The sequence below is a fragment of the Homo sapiens genome, chromosome 3 (genome assembly GCF_000001405.40).
Source record: "Homo sapiens chromosome 3, GRCh38.p14 Primary Assembly".
Taxonomy (NCBI): domain Eukaryota; kingdom Metazoa; phylum Chordata; class Mammalia; order Primates; family Hominidae; genus Homo; species Homo sapiens.
The window spans coordinates 87,030,755-87,034,974 of record NC_000003.12 but is presented as its reverse complement, the minus strand read 5'-3'; the positions used below and the strand labels follow the sequence as shown (position 1 = coordinate 87,034,974).

The 4,220-nt window shown below is 37.3% G+C and overlaps 1 annotated feature.

The window, feature by feature from the left end:
- Positions 3,269-3,469: a silencer, noted in NCBI's record as "peak4738 fragment used in MPRA reporter construct". NCBI's record gives its function as "represses an SCP1 promoter by STARR-seq MPRAs in K562 erythroleukemia cells {active_cell/tissue: K562}" and the evidence as "EXISTENCE:reporter gene assay evidence [ECO:0000049][PMID:32103011]".

Genomic DNA, 4,220 nt, shown 5'->3' with positions numbered 1-4,220 from the left:
AGCAGGTGGCAGCTATGCAGGAGCTACGTAAGAGTTATCGATTAATGCCCAAGTGTGGTGGCTCACGCCTGTAATCCCAGCACTTTGGGAGGCCGAGGCAGGCAGATCACCTGAGGTCGGGAGTTCGAGAGCAGCCTGACCAACATGGAGAAACCCCGTCTCTACTAAAAATACAAAATTAGCCGGGTGTGGTGGTACATGCCTGTAATCCCAGCTACTTGGGAGGCTGAGGCAGGAGAACCGCTTGAACCCGGGAGGCGGAGGTTGCAATGAGCCGAGATCACGCCATTGCACTGTAGTCTGGGCAACGAGACCAAAACAACAACAGAAAAAAAAAACACACACACACAAACAAGAGTTACTGATTAACTCTCAGATATGCCCTTTGCTCCAATTCTGAACATAATGTATAATACATATGCAGTGATTTCTTCATTCCAGACTCATATTTATGTTTTACATATATTAGTTAATTTAGTCCTTGCCTCAACCCTATGAAATAATTACCATTATTATTCCTATTCTGATGAAGAAAATGAAACAGAAAAATTAAATTGATCAATATCACAGAGAGATGTGGGTTCAAACCCAAACAATCTAGCTCCAGAGATTTCTCTTTTTATAAACCCATTTGCATTAGTTTCCTATTGATGCTGTATCTGATTACTACCAACTTAAGAGCTTAAAAACAATACAAATTTATTATCACACACCTCTGGAGGTCAGAAGTCTGAAAGGGTCTTATGGGCTACAAGAAAGGGCTACATTCCTTCTGGACTCTAGAGACTAATCTCTTCCTTGCTTCTTTCCATTTCTAGAGGCAATCTGCATTCCTTGTCTTGTAGCCTTTTCATCTTTGAAGTCAGTAATGCAGCATCTTCAAATCTCTCTGACACTGCTTTCATCCTCACATCTCCTTCTCTGACTCTGATTATCCTAAATTCCTCTTATAAGGACAGGTGTGATTACACTGAGCCCATCCAGATAATTAAGGTTAATCTCTCTAGGTCAAGATCCTTAACTTAATCATGTTTGCAAAATCCCTTTTGCCACATAAGGTAACATATTCACAGGTTTCAGAGATTAACATATGGACATCTTTGGAAAACATTATTTTATTCTACTATATTATTCTTGATATTTTCATAGATAGAGGAGACATACTCTACCCAGGAATACTCAATATTAACTTTCTACTTTTTCTGCAATTATTTCCTCTAAAAATAACACACATAAAGACATAAAGACACATAAAGACACCTGCCCACTTAAACGGCGTGCTTTTTCAGTGTGCAAAAGAAGTTTGCATTAAACACTTGAAACAACATCAATGATGATACCTGGTACCCTATAATGATCAAGACCTATACTCTTTCCTAGATACTCGAGGAGTACCAGAAAATTCAGTCAGCAACCAGTGTGGAGGACCAATTTCATCATTTGTTACTCAGCATGTATTTATCACACCAGATCCCTTGCAAATATTTTGGTTTATTTATTTATTTTACCCTATTTTGCTTTCCAAAGAATTTAAAATGATGAATCACTACTGAAGCTAGGTCAGAATTAAAATTTTCCATTCTTTTAGTGCTAATATAGTCTCACTAAACATGTAGGAGTATACCAAATAAGTAATGATTTGGAGTTGTCTATCATTAATTCAAAACTCCTTATACTTGAGTCAAAGGTAAAAAGATATGTCAGGAATCAGCCCATAATCCTTTCATGTGGCATAAAGTTATAGTATCTAGCTGAGGAATTGTTGGTAAGAGACCAAGGTCATGGATTCCATGGCCTTTGTTTTATGATAGGTAGTACTTAGATGCCATTTGCTTTCATAAGTTCCTCACAGTCTTGTTGCATTCCCAGATGAAACACAGCATAGAATTATACATTTAAATCAAGTAGGAAAATCTCAAATGTTCTAGTAATCATTGTTTTAAATATTGCCCTTACTTGGAAATATTTACAGAAGATTGAAGTTCTAGATATTTTCATCTTTTTCATTTAAATAGGGTGAAATGAATCTACATGGAACCATTATTTTGGTTGGATACCGTCTTGGGTTATGCTTCTCTTTGAATGGGTTCAGATCAGAGCTTTATGTTTATCAGCCTATAGAATTTTCACTTTATATGTACATATTACCTTCAGCCCCCAGAACCAAGTGAAAAGAGTCTCTTTTTGCTCTTAGTACTGTTAGAAAAATATAGGGGGTTTTGGACATGAACGTATCTCATTCATGTCCATTAATCTGGCAAATTGGTACAATTCCATGTTATTTTTAACTCCCCTTCCTAGAATCTACTTATCTATTTTGAAACATTTAGACATTTTTTTCTTTCTTCATGGATTGACAATTCTTGTACATATTCACTTGCTAAATACTTGGGAAAACAAAATGTCAAATTTGAATCTTTTGTACTGCTTGGGTACAGCTGGTTTTCTACATTCATGGAGAAAACAGGCAGGTAGTGCTTGTTAACTAAAAGAAGGCTAAATTCTTTGACTTTCATTTTATATAAAACAATTGGGAAATAGGCAAAACATGTTATCTATTTTTTCTCCAAACTGCTTAGATTTAAACATATGTCCTAAATCCAGGTTTAAAAAACTTTTTTTTTTTTTTTTTTGGAGACGGAGTCTCGCTCTGTCGGCCAGGTTGGAGTGCAGTGGCGCGATCTCGGCTCACTGCAAGCTCCACCTCCCGGGTTCACGACATTCTCCTGCCTCAGCCTCCTGAGTAGCTGTGACTACAGGCGCCTGCCACTGCGCCCGGCTAATTTTTTGTATTTTTTTTTTTTTTTTTTTTTTTTTAGTAGAGATGGGATTTCACCGTGGTCTCCATCTCCTGACCTTGTGATCCGCCCGCCTCGGCCTCCCAAAGTGCTGGGATTACAGGTAAAAAACATTTTTTACGTTACTTTGGAGAACAAGAATGTACTAGGTCAATACAAGACTGTATTGACTATATGAAGTGTGGATTTAGAGATTAAGGCAAGTCGTTGGATATTAAGATTGGCAGAGATGATTCTCTTATTTCTTGCTCTACTTCCAGGAGGTACAAAATCTAGTACTGAGAATACAACATGCTTGTTTTAGCTGATGGAGTGGCCTGAGGGTTCCTGGCCTATTATAAACTTCCTCACACAACGTTCCCAAATTCAGATGTTTGAGCAGGAAAGATTGCGAGCATTGCAAATTAGTGCACATATGAGCAGACTCTCATTAAATACTTGTTGACTGAGTTGCTAGCTGGAGGAAGAACTGACATTCGAAATATGGTCTGAGAAAAGACTTGGGGAAACTTGTTAAGGAAGAAAAGCAGGGAGCAGTTGGAAAGTATGTTTCTTAGAGCAGAATAAAGGTTCAGACTGATCCTGGATTTGTGGTCTAAGTGGGAGGAAGAGCAAAAAGGAGGTTTTTTTAAAGGTTTTTTTAAAAGAAGAATTTCTCCTTGCAAAATTGGGTCACAACTGGCACTAGAAGAAAATAACTAGACTTGAGCCACAAGATAATTGGATTTTTACAAATTTGAAAGTAGTTGAGTTGTAACCTGGAGCAAACTGGTTCACCAGCATTGTGTCTAGCTCCTACTTTTTACGATGCCACAGGCTGGTATATTTCTCGGGAAGAACACCCCAAGCCCCTCAGAGTGGTTGTCTCTCTCAGAATAGGCAGCTGGCACTGAAAATCTCTGGGCATCAAATTCTTCATCAAAATGAAAAGGATGAAATTGATAAGATCTAAAGTTATTCACAAATTGTTTGATGTAAAAATGAATAAATTATCAATGAATCCTGAAATTCTGCTTAATCAATTAGCCAGGTAATATGCGTTCTTTCATTCAGTCATTCGTTCTTCAAATATTCATTAAGTGCCTACTATGTGCCAGATATTTTGGCAGCAGTGAAAATATATTTATGGGTCATAAACAAAAGCCTCCTTTCATTTATTATAAAAATAAAAGTCTTTATTATATTAATATGTTTTGGTAGGGCCTCTGAGAAGAACTTTGATTCTTCCTTCTGCTTCAGATAGCCAGACTCCAGACACCATCCTCATCCTGAAGACCTTCTTTAATGCGTTGGAGCCAGGTAACCAAGAACAATAAATGAAGAAATAACTTAGAAGGGTGGATCTGTTAAAAACATTTATATGCTTTTCCCTAAAGGAATCTTGGACTAGAATAACCTGAGATCCTTCATTCTTCTTACCTA